Consider the following 20,194-nt stretch of genomic DNA (forward strand, 5'->3'; position numbering starts at 1 on the left):
GAAATGTCTATCCCACTGAACAAACATGTCATTGAACTAGAAAAAGACCATTGAAATACTATTCTTACAGCTACTAAGATACCAGTGAATGTCAGAGTTCCTTTTTTTCTATTTGACCTTAGCTCAAATATATTTACATTTCACTTTCAGTGTCTAAACTTTGAATCAATTTTTGTGTTCATGAAATACCATGTTGGACACCTACAACATTGGAACTATTCTATAAAATGTTTGGGATTTGATAGTCATGATTTAACTCATATTGTGCGTTTATTTACTCTTCCCTTTGTTTATAGGCTAAGTCACTGTTTTTAAAATTACAAGTGATAATGCACAATTTAGTGACTCAGGACTAGCAAAGTTGTTTTGCTTTGCTTTCTTTTTTTTTTTTTTTATTTTAACTATATATTGTGAATGCATTTCTAGTAGTAAGTTTAAGTATTATTTCTCAAAATACTTCGTTTAGTTACATACACATAAATACAGGTGTGTGTGTATATGCTGGTTCACTATGTGAAATATTTCTTACCATGTGTTGCCATCAGAGAAGTATAAAAAGCTTTTGGTGCCAGGTGCAGTGGCTTCTAACTATAATCCCAGCACTTTGGGAGGCCAAGGCGGGAGGATTGCTTGAGGCCAGGAGTTTAAGACCAACTTGGGCAATCTAGTAAGACCTTGTCTGTAGAAAAATAAAAATTAAAAAATTAGCCAGGTGTGATGGCATGTGCCTGTACTCCCAGCTACTCAGGAGGCTGAGGCAGGAGGATCACCTGAGCCCAGGAGGTCTAGGCTGCAGTGATCCATGATCACACCACTGTACCCCAGCCTGGGTGACAGAGTGAGACCCTGTCTCTCCAAAAAAAATATAAAAATAAAAAAACTATTGCTCTATGAACTTCAGGCAGTGAAAATAAAATAAAGGCTGTTATTGGTCTAAACTCCTTTGTTTTATACAGTTTGAAGCCTAGGAGTGTAAAATTTATGCAATTTTAACTTTATTGTAATTTGGATCATGGCTTTCTTTTTTCATCTCTTAAATCCATGGAAAACTGAGCTTCGCTTGAGTTACTATTTTTATTTCAAAAGCATCATGACCCTAGGAACCGAACCAAATGATTTCACAGTCCAGCATTAGTCCTTGTACGTGGTATTCTGGCATTCATTTTTATATACCTTTTAATGTTCTTTTGGCTTCATTTTATTATCAGTTTTTTTCTTTTTATTTGGATCTTATAACAATACATGTAATATATGTATTACATATTGCTGCAATTATAATGAAATCATTTTTAATCAAGCTGTCTTAGTCCATTTTGCATTGCTATAATATAAAGGAATACTAGAGGCTGGGTAATTTATAAAGAAAAGAGGTTTGTTTGGCTCATGGTTCTGCAGGCTGTACAAGAAGTGTGGCATCAGCATCTGCTTCTGGTAGGGACTTCAGAAAGCTTCCCCTCATGGTAGAAGGGAAAGAAGAACAAGCATCATGTGGCAAGAAAGGAGGAAAAAAAGAGAGGAGGAGGCGCCAGGCTATTTTTAGCAATCAGATCTTATGGAAACTAATAGTGAGAAGTCACTCATTACCATGAAGATGACATGAAGCCATTAATGAGAGTTCTGCCTCCATGACCCAAAACTTCCCACCAGGCCCTGCCTCCAACATTGGGGATTAAATTTCAACGTGAGATTTGGAGGGGACAAATATTTAAACTGTAGCACAGGCCAAGGTCAAACAGACAACCACAACCAGTTACCACTTCATACCCTATGATGGCTATATTCTAAAAGAGAATAACAAGTGTTGGTGAGCAGGTAGGGAAATTGGAACTCTCCTCCATATAAAATGGTGCAGCTGCTGTGGAACACAGTTTGGCAATACTACAAAATATTAAACAGAGTTATGTGACCCAAGAATTCCACTCCTAGGTATACACTCAAGAGAAATGAAAACAGACATTCACACAAAAATATGCTTATAGCAACGTTATTTATAATAGCCAAAAGTGGAAATAACCTAATGTCTACCAACTGATAAATGGATTTTTAAAAAGTGGCATATCCATATAATGGAATATTATTTAACCAGAAAAAGGAATGAAGTACTGATACTTACTACGACATGGATGAACCTTGAAAACATGCTAAGTCAAAGAAGCTGATTGCAGTCAACCACATACTGTGTGATTCCATTTTATGTAAAATACCTACAATAGGCAAATCTAGAGAAACAGAAAGTAGATTAGTGGTTGGTAGGGCTGGAGAGCAGGACTATTAATGGGTATGTGATTTCTTATTCAAGTGATGAAAGTATACTAAAATTGACTGTGGTGGTGGTTGTACACTTCTGTGAACATACTAAAAATGGATGAATGGGTGAGTTATATGGTATATGAATTGTATTCCAACAAAGCCATTTTTAAAAAGAACTATCACTACTCTTCCTAAAAAATATATTTATTAAAAGTATTATTAGTTTATGTTTTTGGACAATGTATAAAGATAATTTTGTGGTAACAACTGAAAGAGTTGGGGAGAGCTAGTAAAGGAGCAGAGTTTTTGTTATTGAAGTTAAGCTAGTATAAATTCAAATTAGGGTGTTATAACTTTAGGATGTTAAATGTAATCCCCCCAGTAACCATAAGAAAATAACTAAAGAATATACACAAAAGGAAACGAGAAAGGAATTTAAATGTTTTGCCACAAAAAAAATAAAATCAATTAAACACAAAAGAAGATAGTAATGCAAGAAATAAGGGACAAAAAAGCGGTAAGACACATGGAAAATAAATAGCAACATGACAGAATTAAGTTGTATCTTATAAGTAATTACTTTAAATGTAAATGGATTAAACTTTCCAAAAGACAAATACTGGCAGAGTGAATTTAAAAAACATGATTTGGCCGGGCGAGGTGGCTCACGCCTGTAATCCCAGCACTTTGGGAGACTAAGGCGGGTGGATCACGAGGTCAGGAGATTGAGACCATCCTGGCTAACATGGTGAAACCCCATCTCTACTAAAAAATACAAAAAAATTAGCTGGGCATGGTGGCAGGCACCTGTAGCCCCAGCTACTCGGGAGGCTGAGGCAGGAGAATCGCTTGAACCTGGGAGGCGGAGCTTGCAGTGAGCCGTGATCATGCCACTGCACTCCAGCCTGGGCAACAGAGTGAGACTCCGTCTCAAAAATAAATAAATAAATAATAAAACACATGATTCAACTATATGCCATCTACAGAAGAGTCACTTTAGATCCGGAGTTGAAAGTGAAAGGGTGGAAAAAGATAGTATTCCATGCAATAGTAACCAAAAGAGAGTTATACTAATATGAGACAAAATAGACATTAAATTTAAAAAGATTACAAGAGAAAAGAAGATTATTACATATTAATAAAAGGCTCCACAACAACAAGAGATAGCAGCTATAAATATTTATCTACCTAATACCTGATCATCAAAATATATGAAGCAAAAGTGGACTGAATTGAAGAGAGAAATAGAAAGTTCTACAATAATGGCTGGACACTTCAGTACTCCACTCTCAATAGTGTATAGAAGAACCAAACAAGAAATAAGTAAGGAAACAGAGGACTTGCATAGCACAATTAAGGAGCTGGATCTAACAGACATATACAAGACACTGTACCTAACAACAACAGCATACACATTCTTCTCGAGTCCACATGGAACGTTTTCTAGGATGGACCATATTTTCGGCCACAAATTAAGTCTCAATAGATTTCAAAAGATAAATATACAGAGTATCTTCTCTGACCAAAATGGGATGAAGTTAGAAATCAACAACAGAAGTAAAACTGGAAATTTCACAAAATTGTGGAAATTAAAGCACTCTTAACCAGCAGATCAAAGAAGATACCATGTACCACATAAATATACTTACTATGTTACCCATGAAAATTAAAAATAAAAAGAAATCCCAAGGGAAAATAGAAAATACCATTCTGGACATAGGGGCTGGCAAAGATTTCATGATGAAGATGCCAAAAGCAATTCCAACAAAAGCAAAAATTGACAAATGTTACATAATTAAACTAGAGCTTTTGCACAGCAAAAGAAACGATATATCAACAGAGTAAACAGACAACCTACAGAATGGGAGAAAGTACTTTCAAACTATATATCTGACAAAGGTCTAATATCCAGAATCTATCAGGAACTTAAGACTTACAAACTGCTGGGTGCGGTGGCTCACACCTGTAATCCCAGCACTTTGGGAGGCTGAGGTGGGTGGATCATCTGAGGTCCAGAGTTTGAGACCAGCCTGGCCAACATGGTGAAACCCCGTCTCTACTAAAAATACAAAAATTAGTTGGGCATGGTGGCACATGCCTGTAATCCCAGCTCTCAGGAGGCTGAGGCACAAGAATCACTTGAACCAAGGAGGTGGAGGTTGCAATGAGCTGAGATCGTGCCACTGCACTCCAGCCTGGGCGACAGAGTGAGACTCTGTCCCCAACCCTACCCCCCCAAAAAAAAAATTTTACAAGCAAAAAACAGCCCCATTAAAAAGCAGGCAAAGACATGAACAGACACTTTTCAAAAGAAGATGTACATGCAGCCAACAGGCGTATGAAAAAATGCTCAATATTACTAATCATAAGAAAAATGCAGCTGGGTGCGGTGGCTCACGCCTGTAATCCCAGTGCTTTGGGAGGCTAAGGCAGGCGAATCAAAGGCTGTTCAAGAACAGCCTGGCCAACATGGTGAAACCCCATGCTCCTAAAAATACAAAAAATTAGCCAGGCATGGTGGCAGGTGCCTGTAATCTCAGCTATTCAGGAGGCTGAGGCAGGAGAATTGCTTGAACCTGGGATGCAGAGGTTGCAGTGAGCCGAGATCACTCCACGGCAACAGAGCGAGACTCTGTCTCAAAAAAAAAAAAAAATGCAAATTAATACCACAGTGAGATACCACCTCATACCAGTTAGAATGGCTAGCATTAAAAAGCCAGGCCAGGCACAGTTGCTCACACCTGTAATCCCAGCACTTTGGGAGGCCAAAGTGGGGAGATTGCTTGAACTCAGGAGTTTAAGACCACCCTGGGCAACATGACGAGACCCCTTCTCTACCAAAAATACAAAAAAATAGCCAGGCTTCATGCCATGTGCCTATAGTCCCAGCTGTTGGGGAGGCTGAGGCAGGAGGATCACTTGAGCCTGGGCCTCGGTGGGGAGGGTGGGGTGGGGTGCATGCAGAGATTGCAGTGAGCCAAGATTGTGCCGTTGCACTCCAGCCTGGGTGACAGAGCAAGGCCCTGTCTCAAAAAAAAAAAAATTAATTAATAAATAAATAACAGATGCTGTGGTCAGGTTGTGGAGAAAAGGGAATGCTTATTTAGTGTTGGTAAGAGTGTATATTAGTTAAACCATCGTGGAAAGTAGTGTGGCAATTCCTCAAAGAACTTAAAACAACTAACATTCAACCCAGTAATCTCACTACGGGGTTTATACCCAAAGGAATATAAATCATTCTACTGTAAACACACATGCTGACATATCTTCATTGCAGCACTGTTCACAATAGCAAAAACATGGAATCAACCTCAATGCCCATCAATGGACTGGGACTGGTTAAGGGAAATGTGGTACATATACCTAATGGAATACTATGTGGCCATAAAAAAGAATGAGATCATGTCCTTTGCAGGAACATGGATGGAGCTGGAGGCCATTATCCTTAGCAAACTAATGCCGTGACAGAAAACCAAATACCACATGTCCTCACTTATAAGTGGGAACAAAATAATGAGAACCAATGGGCACAACACAGAGAACAACAGACACTGGGGATAACTAGAGCGGGGAGGGAGAGAGAGGGGAAGGGTGTTTCTAACTATCAGGTGCTACACTCAATACCTGGGTGACAGGATCAATCATACCCCAAACCCCAGCACGTTACGTTACACCCATGTAACAAACCTGCACATGTACTCCCAAATCTAAAATAAAAGTTAAAATTATATCTAGGGAAGAGAGTGGGAGGAGGGAGAGGATCAGGAACAATAACTATCAGGTACTGTGCTTAGTACCTGGGTGAAGAAATGGTCTGTACACGAGACCTCCGTGACATGAGTTTGCCTTTGTTAACCTGCACATGAGCCCCAGACCTAAAATAAAAAAAAAATTAAGAATTTTAACTCAATTAGATCATAGACTTAAATGTAAAATGTAAAGTAGTAAGACTTTTAGGAGAAAAAGGAGGGGAAAATTTTCAGGGGGATATGAAGAGAGGTTGATTAATGGGTCCAGATATACAGTTTGATAGAAAAAAATAAGATCTGTCTGATAGATCAGTAAGGTGACTATAGTTTACAATCATCAATCGTGTATTTCAGAATAGCTAGAAGAGAATAATTGGAATGTTTCTACAATAAAAGAAATATTTAAGGTGATGGATATACCAATTACACTGATTTTTTACAAATTATATGAATATTACATTACTGAATGTACCCTGAAAATTTTAAAAAAATGTATGATTAACAATTTTGAGCAAAAAAGAAAATATAGATGAATGAAAACAAAAACACAATGTACCAAAATTTATGGGACCCAGCAAATTCAGTGAAGCAATGCTAAGGGGGAAATTTATAGCTATAAACACATTTAAAAACCAAGAAAGATCTCAAATCAACAATCTAACTGTACACCTTATGGGATTAGAGAAAAAAGAATAAACTAAACCCAAAACTAGTAGAAGGAGGGAAATAATAAAGATTAGAGCAGATAACCAAAGTAGATATTAGATAAACAAAATGGAGAATAGAAAAAGGATAGAGAAAATCAACAAAACCAAAACTTGGTTCTTTGAAAAGATCAACAAAATTGACCTTTAGCTAGATGGACTAAGAAAGAAAGGAGACTCAAATTACTAAAATCAGAAATGAAAGCAGGAACATTACTACCAATTCCACAGAAATAAAGATTATAAGAGAGTACCATGGGCAATTGTACACCAACAAGTTGGATAACCTAAATAAAATGGACATATTTCTAGAAACACAAAATCTACCAAGACTAAAGCACAAAGAAATAGAAAATGAGACTGAGTCAGTAATTTTAAATTTCCCAACAAAGAAAAGCCCTGAACTGGATGGCTTCACTGGCAAATTCTACCAAACATTTAACAGCAATACTTCTCAAACTTTTCAAAAAGAAACTGAAGAAGGAACACTCCCTAACTCATTCTGTGAGAGCATTACCCTGATACTAAAGGCAGACAAAGACACTACAAGAAAAGAAAACCACAAATCAGTGTGCTTTATGAACATTAATACAAAAAGCTTCAAAAAATCCTAGAAAAATTAATTTAGCAGCATATTAAAAGGATTCAATACCATGACCAAGTAGGATATATTCCTAGAGTACAAGGATGGTTCCACATACAAAATCAATCAGTGCGATACACACTAACAGAATGAAGGAGAAACCCCACGTGATCATTTAAATCATCTAGAATGATCATGATGCATGATCTAGAATGATCAAATGCAAAAAGTATTTGACAAAATTCAACATACTTTCATACTAAAAACACTCTAGAAATAAAGGAAACTACATCAACATAATAAAAGCTATATATGAAAACCCACAGCAAACATCATTCTCAGTAGTAAAAGACTGAAGTTTTTCATGTAACATAAGGAAGTAGGCAAGGATGCCTACTTTCACCACTTCTATTCATCATACTACTGGAAGTCTTAGCCAGAGCAATTAGGCAAGAAAAAGAAATTAAAGTCATCTACTTGGAAAGGAAGAGGTAAAATTATCTGTTCACAGATGATAATGGTCTTATACATAGAAAACTCTGCAGATTCCACTGAAGAATCTGTTAGACCTAATTAGCAAATTCAGCAAGTTAGCAGGATACAAACTCTATACACAAAAATTAATTGCATTTCTGTATACTAGCAATGAATCCAAAAAGGGAATTACAAAAACAATTCCATTTACAATAGCATCAGAAAAGATAAAATGCTTAGGAATTGACTGAAGAGACGAAAGACTTGTAGTACAATGAAAACTATAAAAACATTTCTGAAAGAAATTAGAGAAGATATAAGTAAATGGAAAGGCATTCTATGATCAAGGATCAGAAGATAATATTACTAAGATGTCAATACCCAAAGCAAGTACAGATTTAATGCAATCCCTATCAAAAGCCTGATGACATTTTTTGCACAAATAGAAAAACCCATCCTAAAATTAGAATTTCAGGGGACCTCAAATAGCCAAAACAATCCTGAAAAAGAAGAGCAAAGCTGGAGAACTCACATTTCCTCATTTCAAAACTTACTGCAAAGCTATAGTAAACAAAGCATTGTGATACTGGCATAAAAACAGACATATAGGCCAGGTGTAGTGGCTCACTTCTGTAATCCCAGCACTTTGGGAGGCTGAAGCAGAAGGATTAGTTGAGTCCAACCAGCCCAGGCACCGTAGTGAGACCCCAATCTCTATAAAAAGAGAAATACACAAACATATAGACTAATGGAATAGAATAGAGAATACAGCAGTAAATACTTGCATATATGGTCAACTGATTTTCAACAAGAATGCCAAGACCACTGAATGGGGAAAAGATAATCTTTTCAACAAATGGTACTGGGAAAACTGGCCACATGCAAAGGAATGAAGTTGAACACTGACTTATACTAAAATTAACTCAAAATGGATCTTTGACTGAAATGTAAGACCTAAACTATAAAACTCTTAGAAGAAAACATAGGGCAGAAGATTCATGACATTGGATTTGCCAGTGATTTCGTGGATATAACACCTAAAACACAGGCAACAAAAGAAAAATAGACAAATTGGATTTCATGAACATTTTTAAAGTTTGTGCACTAAAAGACACTATCAACAGAGTAAAATGGCAACCCACAAAATGAGAGAAAATGTTTGCAACTCATATATATGATAAAGGAATTGATATCCAGAATAAATAAAGAACTCCTAAAACTCAACCAGCAAACAACCCATTTCAAAAATGGGCAAAGGACTTGAATAGACATTTCTCCAAAGAAGGTATATAAATGGCCAATAAGCACATGAAAAGATACTCAACATCATTAATCACTAGAGAAATGCAAATTAAAACTAATGGGTGTGAGGTACCTAATCACACCCACTAGAATGGCTACTATCCAAAAACCAAAATAACAAGAGTTGATGAGGGTTTGAAGAAACTGGAACCCTTATGCACTGTTGGTGGAAATGTGAAATAGTGCAGCTGCTATGGAAGATGATATGGTGATTCCTCAAAAACTTAAATATAGATTTACCGTAAAATTGAGAGCAGTGTCTCAAATAGATATTTGTATACCCATGTTCATAGCAGCATTATTCACAATAGCCAAAAGGTGGAAGCAACCCAAGTGTCCATCAGTGGATGAATGGATAAGCAAAATTTGATATACTCCTACAGTGGAATGTTAGCCTTAAAAAGGAAGGAATTCTGACACAGGCTACAACACATGAACCTTGAGGACATCATGCTACATGAAATAAACCAGTCACAAAAAGACAGATGGTGGATGATTCTACTTATGTGAAGTACAAGGAGTAGTCAAATTCATAGAGACAGAAAATAGAACAGCGGTTGCCAGGGACTGGAGGGAGGGGAAGGGGGCGTTAGTGTTTAATGTGTACAGAGTTTGAGTTGGGCAAGATGAAAAGAGTTCTGAAAATTGATGGTGGTGATAGTTGCACAACAATGTTAATGTACTTAATACCACTGAACTGTACACTTAAAAATGGGTAAGGGGCTGGGTGCAGTGGCTTATGCCTGTAATCCCAGCACTTTGGGAGGCTGAGGCAGGAGGATCACTTGAGCTTAAGAGTTCAAGATCAGCATGGGCAACATGGCAAGACCCTGTCTCTACAAAAAAAAAAAAAAAAAAAAAAAAATTTAAATTAGCCAAGCTAATTAGCCAGGCATAATCACACCACTGCACTCTGACCTGGGCAACAGAGTAAGACCCTGTCTTTAAAAAAAGAAAAAAATAAGGTTAGGAAAAATATGTTAGTGATTACTAATTAGTATTTACTTGTTTATAGGTAATTTCATTTCTTATAAAATCAGCATTTTTAAAAAACTTCTTGCTTAGTAGAGGTTAAATAGTCTGGCTTACTTGGTATTTTACTATAGAATAAATATGAGATTTCTCTATTTCTTTTATCTCAATAGTAATTAATTGGACTTCTCACCCTTGAAAACAAAGGCTCTGAATTTTTAAATCTCTGTGATTATAAAATTAAGCCAAGAATTAAAATGATTTATGTGGCAAATTCAGGCAGTAATGATCCTTTTAAAATCCAATAAAGTGTTCTCATTTAGAGAGTAATTTAGAACTTTATTTCTGACCTAGAGTCTGGTTAGACAAGGTAACCGTGTGTTTCCACATTGATCAGGAAGGTATTCTTTTCTCTTTGCCTTATGGTTTAATTTATAGTCAAATTTCATGCTGTCTAGTGATCTCACTGTGATGACATTCAGATTAAGTACACATTAGATAATAAAAGACTCATCTTTCCCTCATGGGGGTAATAGGATAATGGGGGACTTAAGACACGTAGAGATAAATTATTATACAAACAGGCTGTGATTGGTCCCAAAAAGAATACTGAACAAGTATACAGCCAATCACAGGACATACATTAGGGAGCTCAGAAAGATTTTCAAGTAAATCTAGCTCTTGGCTTACTTCCAGTTTTCATAGTTTTTGCTTGATGTGGGAACAGATCATTCAAAGTTGTTTAATGGGAATCTTCATTGCCACATTCATTTTTCTCTAGACTATTGGAATAACTTCCTAAGGATCTTTCTACCACCAGTTTCTCTTCCCTGCAACTTGGGTTCTACATTCCTTCTATATTCCCAACTTTACCAAAGGCTTTGGTCACGTCATTCCCCTTAATAGCTCATGCATTGTTTAGAGGAGATCCCAGTTGGTAGCCTGCAAATACAGGCATTTATTAAATTTCATGGAGCGTGATAAATGAGAAAATACTAATAGGGACATTTTTAGGAATTTTTGAAAGATAGAAAGCAGATGAGCTCAGAACTGTGGAGAAACAAGTCAGCCAGAATGCCTGCTATCACCTCTGCAATGTATTTGTCCTGGAGAGCCCAGCCAATGTATTATAAGAAACAGAAATGGGATATGCAAATATTGGAAAGGCAGAGATACACTTGGATTACTTACGATTGTCACTAAGAAAATCAAAGGGAATTTTATTAGTCAAGAGTTTTTGATTGCCAACAAAAGAAACCAGCCCTAATGTAAGTAGAAAATAAATTACAAGGATATGAAGTCTCTTGTCATGTTTACAGAAGATTGGAGGACATGGTTGAGAAAATGTCCTGATGGGTATGAGCTGAGAAGAGAGACTCTCACTTTACTGTAGATGCTTTTGTACAGAGTGTTTTACCCTAAAAAATAGATCCATATACTTATTTAAATTGTTTTAAAGAAAAATACAGGGACTGCTGATCCTGAAAAAGTTAATGAGCATAAAAAGTAATTCTGAAAGGCCGGGCATGGTGGCTCATGCCTGTAATCCCAGCACTTTGGGAGGCCGAGGTGGGCAGATCACAAGGTCAGGAGATTGAGACCGTCCTGGCTAACGTGGTGAAACACTGTCTCTACTAAAAATACAAAAAAAATTAGCCGGGAGTGGTGGCACACGCCTGTAGTCCCAGCTACTTGGGAGGCTGAGGCAGGAGAATTGTTTGAACCCAGGAGGCGGAGGTTGCAGTGAGCCGAGATTGCGCCACTGCACTCCAGCCTGGGCAACAGAGTGAGACTCCTTCTCAAAAACAAAAAAAATCTGAAAATTTGTCTCTTATTACCTTCACCTGACCTGTTAGTTGCATTGATTTGATCAAAATTCAGAAACACACGATGGTGTCTCTTGTACATAAGCACCAAAACTCAAAAGAAAATGCTTTTGTTGACTTTATTTTCAGTTTTGTTTTTCACATATTCAAGAATAAAGACATTCTCTACAATTATTTTTTTTCTCTAGAGAAATGCTTACAAACAGTAGCCAGCAACTTATACTTTCTTTTTTTTTAACCTGTTTTTTAATTTTAATTTTGACATAATTTCAGACCCACAGAAAATTTGCAGGAATAGGGCCAGGCAGAGTGGCTCGCACCTATAATCCCAGCTACTCAAGAGGCTGAGACAGAAGAATCACTTGAGCCCAGGAGGCGAAGGTTGCAGTGAGCTGAGATTGCACCACTGCACCTCAGCCTGGGCAATAGAGCCAGAAGCTCCAAAAAAAAAAAAAAAAAAAAAAACACTTTAAAATTAGCCACACCTATATAGTTCTTTCTACTCCTGAGGCCGAGTGGGAGGATTGCTTGAGCCCAGGAGTTCAAAGTTACAGTGAGCTATTGATGGCAGCAGCAGCCCATCTGGAGCAGCCACTGCTAAGACACCAGCTGCAGCAGGAGAGACGTGTCCGGGGCTGCGTGCTCTACAGAGCTGGTGTGGGCTGGGAACAGGCAGGAGCCCCACCTCCTACTGAATTGGTAGGGTGGGAGCCCCATGCTCCCTGGTGCAGCTGCAGCTACCCAGCCACCCACTCTGGACTGGGACATCTCTGGGCTCTCAGGGGCCTGGGAACCCCCACCCCTGTCAGCTCAGAAGCACCTGCTCCCACTCCCTGGCCTCTCTCCACTCCCAGTGCCTGCTCAAGTGCAGAGCAAATTTGTGGCAGAGCCTGGGCACTGTCACGACCTGGCCAGTGTGGCGCTGACACACCAGCCCCCTGCTATCTCTGTCCCTCCGGACTTTGGGCGCTGATGAGCACAGGAGGGAGGCATGGTGAGGGTGGCTGAGGGCAGCTTGGCCCAGGCCTGCAGGAGCCCCTCAGCACAAACAGCCTGGGTACCATGGACGGCATGTTGATGGCAGGAGGTAGATAGGTTCCTGGGCAGAAAGGGCCAGGTCCCTGATGAAACCCCACCTTCAAGCCAGGAACAGCCTGAAGCGTGGGGACTGGGCTGCCGGTTCCAGGTGAAGTCCATGGCCCAGAGTGAAGACTTCACTGATGACCGTTCAGCCAATTGGATGGTGCTTTTTCCAGGCCCACCAGGAAAATCCTCCTTTCTGAGCACATAAAAACCCCAAACTCAGCCAGACTCATGCTGACATTGGGACTACCAGCTGCGGGAAGGAGTTACCCACTTCAGGTCTCCTCAATGTTGACACAGCCTGCCTGTGAAAAGGAGCTATCCACTGTGTGTCTCCTCTCTGCTGAAAGCTGGACACTCGTGGGGACAACCTGCTGGCAGAAAGGAGCTACACCAGGTCTCCTGAGAGCTGTTCTATCACTCAGTGAAGCTCCTCTCCGACTTGCTCACCCTCCAGTTGTCCACATACTTCATTCTTCCTGGACATGGGACAAGAACTTGTGAACACCTAATGGTGGGACTTAAAGAGCTGTAACACAAACAGGGCTGAAACACACCTAGGTCTGGGCTCCCCAAACCAGGGCTGTGACACCCTCTTTGGGACCCCACGGTTCCTGGTGTTTCCAAGCTTCCAGGAACCACCACGTTCCTCAGTTCCCACAGTGGTACACCTGGTCAGCTGCAGCCTTGCATGGAGCCAGTGCCTGTGCTGGTGCATGGGTTTGCCCGCTCTCCACTGCAGTCAGCACGCCTGGCTGTGCACAGTGGCTGGACCCTGCGCTCACTCACACACCCCTTGCCACTCTGTGCCTGGCTGGCCCTTGGCAGATGTGGGATCTGGGCCGGTAGTGTGAGCTGAGTGCAGCCTGCCAGGCCAAGTGGGCAGAATGAGCCCAGTGGGCCCGAGCCAAACTCAGGCAAAGACACTACCAACCACAGAGGTTTCCAGCTGGAAAAGCAACACCCCAAGGATCCTGTGACACTATGATTGTGCTGTTGCACTCCAGCCTGGGCAACAGAGAAAGTCCCTGTCTCTAGAATAAAAAAAGTTAGAGACTAAAATAAAAAAAGAAAGAAAATTTGCAGAAATAATATAAAGAAGTCCCATGTAACCTCCACCCAGATTCCTCAAATGTTAACTTTGTACCACATTTGCTTTATCATTCTCTCTATATATATATATTTAAATATTGAAATTATATATGTATATTTATACACATTTTTTCCCTGAACCATTTGAGTAAGTTGCAGCCACAATGTCCCTTTACCCCTAAATACCTAGGTTGTACTTTTTTAAAATATAAAAACATTATATAAGAAAATACTAAAAATTAAAAAGTTAACACTTATGACAATACTATTAGCTAACCCAGAGATATTATTCAAATGTCACTCATTTTCTGATCGCTACCCTTTATTAGGAAAAGAAAATCCCAAATCGTGAGCCACATTTAGTTGTCAAATCTCTTTAGTCTTCTTTAATCTGGAACAGTTCCTCAGTGTTTTCTTGTCTTTCATTACCTTGATGAATACAAGCCAGTTATTTTGTAGAATGTCTTTCCATTTGTTTATCTGATGTTTGCTCATAATTAGAGTCAGAGTTTTTTGCAGGCCTACCCCAGAAGTGACGTTGTGTTGTTTTCAGTGTATTATATAGGAGGCATGTTATGTTTATGTAACCCATTACTAATGATACTAATTTCTTCCAGGAAGTTATGATTTTTTTTCCTTTAATTAGCTTCTGTTAAGGAGATATTTAGGGCTATATAAATATCCTTTTACTCATTAGATTTTTACTTCCTCACTTGCTCTAATATTCATTGATGATTCTTGCTTGAATCACGTTTTACTCTGCTGGTTGCCACGTGTTGATTTCCTCATTTCATCATCTCTTCATATGGGGACTATGTGAAGTGCCTATGTCCCCATCTTTCCTTGAGTACTCCCTTACTTTCTGGTTCACCAAGTTGTTCCAGGTTCATCTGGACTGTTCCTGCTCCAAAGTTTGATTCAGCAGTTTTGCCAGGAAGCTCTGGCTCTTTCTAGTAGGGATTGGTTTGTAGACACCCAACATCTCAGTGCTACATGCGCTCAGTTACTACTAATCCTCTCAGTGGCCAGAGCCAGGAAACATGTATCTTTATATCTGTATATATTAAAAGCCCGGCCGGTGGCTTACGCCTGTAATCCCGGCACTTTGGGAGGCCGAGGTGGGTGGATCACGAGGTCAGGAGTTCGAGACCAGCCTGGCCAATATGGTGAAGCCCCATCTCTGCTAATAATACAAAAATTAGCCAGGCATGGTGGTGCCCACCTGTAGTCCCAGCTACTCAGGAGGCTGAGGCAGAAGAATCACTCAAACCCAGGAGGCGGAGGTTGCAGCGAGCCGAGATCGTGCCACTGCACTCCAGCCTGGGTGACACAGTGAGACTCCGTCTCAAAAAATAATAATAATAAAACAGAAACCATGTTGAGAGTCTTTGTTTTTACTTCAGTTTTTAGAAACAAAACACAAATATTGTTAAGCTAGACCAGTTGATTTTTATACATTAAATGTAAGAATTCCAAAAATCAATTCACAAATCTATAAGATCATATTTGAATCTATGTTGCAAAACATTTGGGCCCCAAACCAGACATGATGTGTCATTTGATAATTCATATGTCAATAAATCATGCTTTCTCTTACATAATTTAAAGTAAGTTGAACAACATGTATTACTTAATAAGTGTGGAAAAGTTGGAAAATTGTAATGCCATATCCAATAGTAGTGATGTAAATTAAGATATTTTTACCTGCTTAATCACACACCATGCAGAAGTGACAAAATGTTTACGAATATTCTTAAAGAGGGTATAGGAAGGATTATTAATTGCTATGCAAAGTCATTGAATTAAAAAAAAAAAACATCGAACACTTTCACCTAGAGGATAAGCTTCCAGTTCCCTTTCTCAGCGTGTAAGACCCTTCATAGTCTGACCCCACTTCACCCCCAGTCCCTCTCCAGTCTCTTATGCCCTTCTCTCCCTCTAAGCATCCTGTCATCTGTGCATATTGGTACATCTCATAGGTCTTTATGCACTAATATGATTGACATGCCATTCTCTCTCACCTACCTGGAAAGATCTGATACATCTTTCAGGTTCCAGATCACATACTACCTGTTCTACAGAATCTTCCAGGAAGAATTACTTCTTCTTTTCTCATAATAGTTCTTATATTATATTCTAATTGCTTATCTCTATATTCCTTATTAAATGTGTCTTCCTTTAAAACAGGGACTTTATCTTCCTTGTAATCCCAACACAACACAATGTCAGGCATTCAATATAAGTGTTTAATAGATGCATAATGATTTGTCAGTTTCAATATTCTAAACCTGATAATTTTTAAATGCTTTAGATCACAACATCTAAAACATTTAAAGTGAATATTAAGGAACCTAGCACTCGCTTCAGCAGTACATATACTAAAAATGGAATGAGGCCAGGTACAGTGGCTCACGCCTTTAATGCCAGCACTTTGGGATGCCAACGCGGGAGGATCATTTGAGCCCAGGAGTTCAAGACCAGTTTGGGCCACATAGCAAGACCTCATCTCTACAAATAATAACTTTAAAAAATTAGGTGGGCATGGTAGTACATGCTTGTAGTCCCAGCTACTAGAGAGGCTAAGTCTGGAGGATCACTTGAGCCCAGGAGGTCGAGGCTGCAGTGAGCCATGATCACACCAACCTATTCCAGCCTGGGCAACATAGGTAGACCCCATCTCAAAAAAATTGGAACAATACAGAGAAGATTAGCATAGCCAATTAAAAAACAAATTTTAAGAAAAAATGGCCAGGCATGGTGGCTCATGCCTATAATCCTAGCATTTTGGCAGGTCGAGGCAGGAGGATCACTTGAGCCCAGAAGTTTGGAGCCAGCCTTGGCACCAAAGTGAGACCTAGTCTCTACAAAAAAATAATAAGAAGAAAGGGAACCTCTGGTTTTCCTGGAGTTTTCTCTTGCATAGTAATGCCTGGGGCCCACCCCCAACCACTTTGTTTTGGAATCTGAAATGATCCCCTCAGCCCAGAGTCACTTTACCATTCTGTCCCCTCCCCGTCACCACCCACTCCTGCAGCAGCTCTTCAGCCTCCCAGGACTCCATCCAGGTCACTCATTTCTCTGGACTTCCCTTGGGTAGCCAGTGACCCTGAGCACTAACAAGCACCCTTATGTCATGATTATAGCACCAAGTGAGAGTTTCTACAGAGGCAGTGCTGCTCTCTAGAAGGCCACACAGGCTTTCAGCTCTTTTCTGAAAGCTATCCCTTCTAATCCTTAAAGACTTTTTTTTTTTTGTAATTTTTAGATGGAGTCTCGCTCTGTCACCCAAGCTCTGGAGTGCAGTGGCGTGATCTCAGCTCACTGCAACCTCCGCCTCCCGGGTTCAAGCGATTCTTCTGCCTCAGTCTCCTAAGCAGCTGGGATTACAGGTGCGCGCGAACACGCCTGGCTAATTTTTTTGTATTTTTTAGTAGAGATGGGGTTTCACCACATTGGTCAGGCTGGTCTCGAACTCCTGACCTCATGATCCACCCACCTCAGCCTCCCAAAGTGCTGGGATCACAGGCTTGAGCCACCACACCCAGCCAAAGCATTTTTGATATTTAGTTCTTCTTGTAAGACTATTGAGGTAAACATTCTAAGAAATACAGGTTTAGAGAACATCTTTCTGCTGAGCTTATTATAGAGTTGATATAGTTGAGATGAAACTGAAACTGGACATTTGGTTGGGTGGAAAGGAATGGAGGTGTCACTGAGCACCAGGGTAGTGAAGAGGCCCTCCTGGAAGGAGGGTGTGGCAAAATGACTAGATTGGTAAGGTCTGACCAGTCGGAGGGACTAGGTTACAGGGATGAGGGAATAAGCATTGGGAGCTCAGGGTAGTAATATCCAAGACCAAAATAAAGGGAGAAACTGGAGTCCACCCAGCCAGAATCCACAAAGTAATCTTTTCCTATTCCTTCATCAGGACCCATTGCCTCTTAATTGTCACTAGTCCCATCAGATATGTCTGTTGAGTTTGACTTTTACACCTTTTTAGCTCTATTATAATATTTGCTCACTTGCTCCATAATTAGTATTAGTTCTACCCTCCCATATGTGTATGACTGACATCAGTGAAAATCCAGTATAGCTTACCGAAGGTTGTAATAAACACACTTTGAAGTATTTTTAATTTAAAAAAATATTCTATCTCTAGGAATCTAGTGACAGGTTTGATATAATTAAAATTTAATTTTTTAATATGCAAAGGAAGTTGTCATAACTAGAATATGATTTGACAGGTGTTGGCAGTTCTCCAAGCAACTTATTTTAAAAGTAGGTATCTCTGAAAAAGAATAGGTAGAAGTAAAGGTTTGATTGAAAACTCAGTTTAACAGTGGGGCTGCTTTAAGGTAATGTATGTGTCCTTTTTTTCTGAGTACAATTTTTTTTTAACTTTTAGGTTCGGGTTACATGTGTAGGTTTGTTATATAAATAAACTCTCATCATAGGGGTTTGTTGTACAGTTTATTCTGTTACCTAGGTACTAAGCCTAGTACCCAATAGTTGTTTTTACTGATCCTCTTCCTCCATCCTCTGCCTTCAAGTGGGTCCCAGTGTCTGTTGCTCCCCTCTTTGTGTCCATGTGGTCTCATCATTTAGCTCCCGTTTATAAGTGAGAACATGCAGTATGTGGTTTTCTGTTCCTGTGTTAGCTTGCTAAGGATAATAGCCTCCAGCTTCATCCATGTTCCCATGAAATACATGAACTCATTCTTTTTTATGGCTGCATAGTATTCTATGGTATATATGTACCACATTTTCTTTACCCAATCTGTCATTGATTGGCATTTAGGTTGATTCCAAGTCTTTGCTATTGTGAATATGCAAGTGCATGCATGTGTCTTTTAATAGTAAAAATATGTATATTATAGTTAGTATTGTAAAGTATGTATCTCTCTCTTTCTAGATCCTGGTTAGATAACAATGGGAAAAGTGCTGTTAAAAAGCTAAAGAACAGTTTGCCACTTAGAAAAGAACTAGATCGTTTAAAAGATGAACTGTCTCATCAATTGCAACTCTCAGATATCAGGTAAGAAAGAAGAGAGAACCTAATTTAGAAATTGAAATGAATATGAATTACCAACTGATAAGCTTTTCAGCAGCTAAATATTTGCATCTTTAATTGCTCTGATAACTGAGTACTCTTCAATTATCTTTATGAACATCATGAAATGTTCATCTGTGTAAGAAAACTCTTATTAATTTCTTATTTTAAATACTGAAATAAGGCTGTGCACAGTGGCTCTTGCCTGTAATCCCAGCACTTTGGGAGGCCAAGGTGGGAGGATCGCTTGAGCCCAGGAGTTCAAGACTAGCCTGGGCAACATATAGAGACCCCATCTCTACAAAAACTTAAAAAAAAAATAGCTAGGCACTATGGCCTGCACCTGTAGTCTCAGCTACTTGGAAGGGTGAGGCAAGAGGATCACTTAAGCCCAGGAGCTTGAGGCTGCAGTGAGCTATAATTGCATCACTGCACTGCAGCCTGGGTGATAGAGCAAGACTTCATCTCAATTTATATATATGTTACTTCTTTCTTCTATATATAGATAAAGAAGTAAGGTTTGTTTAAGTACTGACATTTTTGGCGTAATAAACTTTTTTACATAATAAGTTTGTAAGAAAAATACCCTCTTCCATATACACATAATATATAAAAAATAATTATGCCCCCATCTTGTAAGATATTTAAGGCCAGACACAGTGACTCATACCTGTAATTCTACCACTTTGGGAGGCCAAGGCAGGAGGATCACTTGAGGCCAGGAGTTTGAGACCAGCCTGGGCAACATAGCGAGACCTCATCTCTAAATAATAATAATAATAAGTGTTTTAAAAGATTAGTATTTGAGTTTAAAAAGAGGAGGGGAGAGAGAAAATGGATGTTGTATTCTTGGTTTTATATTATATAGCAGGACTTTTTAAGTAAGTTTTCATAAACTTGGAAATTGCAGTTATATAAAGATCCATGCTGAAATTTATTGTGGAATAGATTTAACAGTTCTTAAAACTGTAAGGAAGGGAAAAGGAGTCAGGTCATTCAGTCACTGGACTTCCCATCACTAGAACTAGGAAAAATCGTCATCCAGTCTTCATGTTTAAACATCTTTGTTACTATTTGCAATAGCCTGTTTTGTTGTTTTCAATTCTCAT

General features: G+C 39.2%; 1 protein-coding gene across 5 annotated transcripts in view, besides 1 other annotated feature; it reads left to right on the forward strand.

Annotated features, from left to right (window-relative positions):
• TCAIM (T cell activation inhibitor, mitochondrial) overlaps positions 1 to 20,194 on the forward strand; it is a 71,320-nt gene that overhangs the window by 35,779 nt on the left and 15,347 nt on the right. For all 5 annotated transcript variants that reach the window (NM_001282913.2, NM_001282915.2, NM_173826.4 and 2 more), the window contains one exon: positions 18,948 to 19,070. In NM_001282913.2, coding sequence (NP_001269842.1) covers positions 18,948 to 19,070 — 123 coding nt within the window. The remainder of the gene's footprint in view (positions 1 to 18,947; positions 19,071 to 20,194) is intronic.
• Positions 4,713 to 4,871: a silencer, noted in NCBI's record as "fragment chr3:44420112-44420270 (GRCh37/hg19 assembly coordinates)". NCBI's record gives its function as "represses an EF-1alpha promoter that drives an FKBP-Casp9 reporter gene in an ReSE screen in HepG2 liver carcinoma cells {active_cell/tissue: HepG2}" and the evidence as "EXISTENCE:reporter gene assay evidence [ECO:0000049][PMID:32094911]".

This window comes from Homo sapiens, chromosome 3 (genome assembly GCF_000001405.40).
Source record: "Homo sapiens chromosome 3, GRCh38.p14 Primary Assembly".
NCBI lineage: Eukaryota > Metazoa > Chordata > Mammalia > Primates > Hominidae > Homo > Homo sapiens.